The 1,861-nt window shown below is 47.8% G+C and overlaps 1 annotated feature.

The window, feature by feature from the left end:
* Positions 780-1,279: an enhancer, noted in NCBI's record as "H3K27ac hESC enhancer chr18:58931179-58931678 (GRCh37/hg19 assembly coordinates)". NCBI's record gives its function as "activates a minimal SCP1, AML or CMV promoter by ChIP-STARR-seq in naive H9 embryonic stem cells {active_cell/tissue: H9 hESC(naive)}" and the evidence as "EXISTENCE:reporter gene assay evidence [ECO:0000049][PMID:30033119]".

Raw genomic sequence — 1,861 nt, 5'->3', positions numbered from 1 at the left:
GATTTCTCTTATTCCTCAGGTACACTGATTATTCTTAGGTTTGGTTGTTTAACATAATCCCAGATTTCTTGGAACTTTGTTCATATTTTCTTAGTCTTTTTTCTTAGTCTTTGTTGTATTGGGTTAATTCGAAGACTTTGTCTTTGAGCTCTGAATTTGTTTCTTCTATTTGTTCAATTCTATTGCTGAGACTTTCCAGAGCATCTTGCATTTCTATAAGTGTGTTCAATGGTTCCTGAAGTTTTGATTGTTTTTTCTTTATGCTATCTATTTCCTTGAATATTTCTCCCTTCACTTCTTGAATCTTTTTTTTGGATTTCTTTGCATTGTGCTTTACCTTTCTCTGGTGCCTCCCTGATTAGCTTAATAACTAATCTCTTGAATTCTTTTTCAGGTAAATCAGGGATTACTTCTTGGTTTAGATCCATTGCTGGTGAGCTAGTGTGATTTTTTTAGGGGATGTTAAAGAGCCTTGTTTTGTCATATTACCAGAGTTGGTCTTCTGGTTCCTTCTCATTGGGGTAGGCTCTGTCAGAGGGAAGGTCTAGGGCTGAAGGCTGTTCTTCAGATTCTTTTGTACCATGTGGTGCTCCCTTGATGTAGTACCCTCTCCCTTTTCCTATGGATGTGGCTTCCTGTGAGCCAAGCTGCAGTGATTGTTATCTCTCTTCTGGGTGTAGCCACCCAGCAAGTCTAACTGGTTCTGGGCTGGTACTGGGGGTTGTCTGCACAGCGTCTTGTGATGTGAACCATCTATGGGTCTCTCAGCCGTGGATACCAGCACCTGTTCTGGGGGATGTGGCCGGGGGTGAAATGGACTCTTTGAGTGTTCTTAGCTTTGCTAGTTTAATGTTCTATTTTTGTTCTGCTTGGCCTCCTTCCAGGAGGTGGCACTTTCCAGACAGCATCAGCTGTGGTAGTATGGAGAGAAACTGGTGGTGGGCAGGGCCCTAGAACTTCCAAGATTATGTGCCCTTTGTCTTCAGCTACCAGGGTTGGTAGGGAAGACCCATCAGGTTGGGGCAGGGTTCGGCATGTCTGAGCTCAGACTCTCCTTGGGTGGGTCTTGCTGAAGCTACTGTGGGGGATGGGGGAGAGGTTCCCAGGTCAATGGAGTTGTGTACCTAGGAGGGTTATGGCTGCCTCTGCTGAGTCATGCAGGTTGTCAGGGAAGTGGGAGAAAGCCAGCAGTTACAGGCCTCATCCAGCTCCCACACAATCCAAAGGGGTGGTCTCACTCAAACCATGCCCCCCATTAGCCCCAAGTCTTTTTCCAGGCAGTGAGTGAGCAGGCCTTGAGAACCTGCCCCAGGCTACCCACCTCCCAGCTGCAAAATAAAAGGGCTTTGGTTCCTGTCCCTCCCTTGGAGTCTGCATGCAGGATTCGTGCCCTCCTCAGAGTTCTGGCTGGGAGGCTTCTCACCCAGTTCAAACTGTTACAAAGTTCAGCTGGAGACCTCCTTCTCTCTGTGGCAATTTCCCCATGCCTCTGGGCACCCTTTCGAAGGATCCCTGTGGTGTCAGCAGGAGTGGCCTGCTTGGGGACCCAGTGAGCTCCCAGGGCCTTTCCCGCTGCTTCCTCTACCCCTATATTTAACTCTGCTCTCTAAATTGACTCAGCTTCAGGCAAGGTCGAAAACTTCTGCATACTAGACCTTCAGTTTCCCCAGTAGGGGTGTGTGTTTTAGAGCAGAGGATCTCTCTTTCCCACTTCTGTAGTTTGGGCACTCAGTATTTGGGGTGTCTCCCAGGTCCTACAGGAGCAGTCCTTTTCCTTCAGAGGGTCTGTGGGCCCTCTTGGGATTCCTGGTTTGTTCTTGCAGTCATTCTGGAGCTAAAATTCACTATGGGAGCCTCTGTA

Source organism: Homo sapiens, chromosome 18 (assembly GCF_000001405.40).
Source record: "Homo sapiens chromosome 18, GRCh38.p14 Primary Assembly".
Lineage (NCBI taxonomy): Eukaryota > Metazoa > Chordata > Mammalia > Primates > Hominidae > Homo > Homo sapiens.
This window is presented reverse-complemented; position numbering and strand designations above follow the sequence as displayed.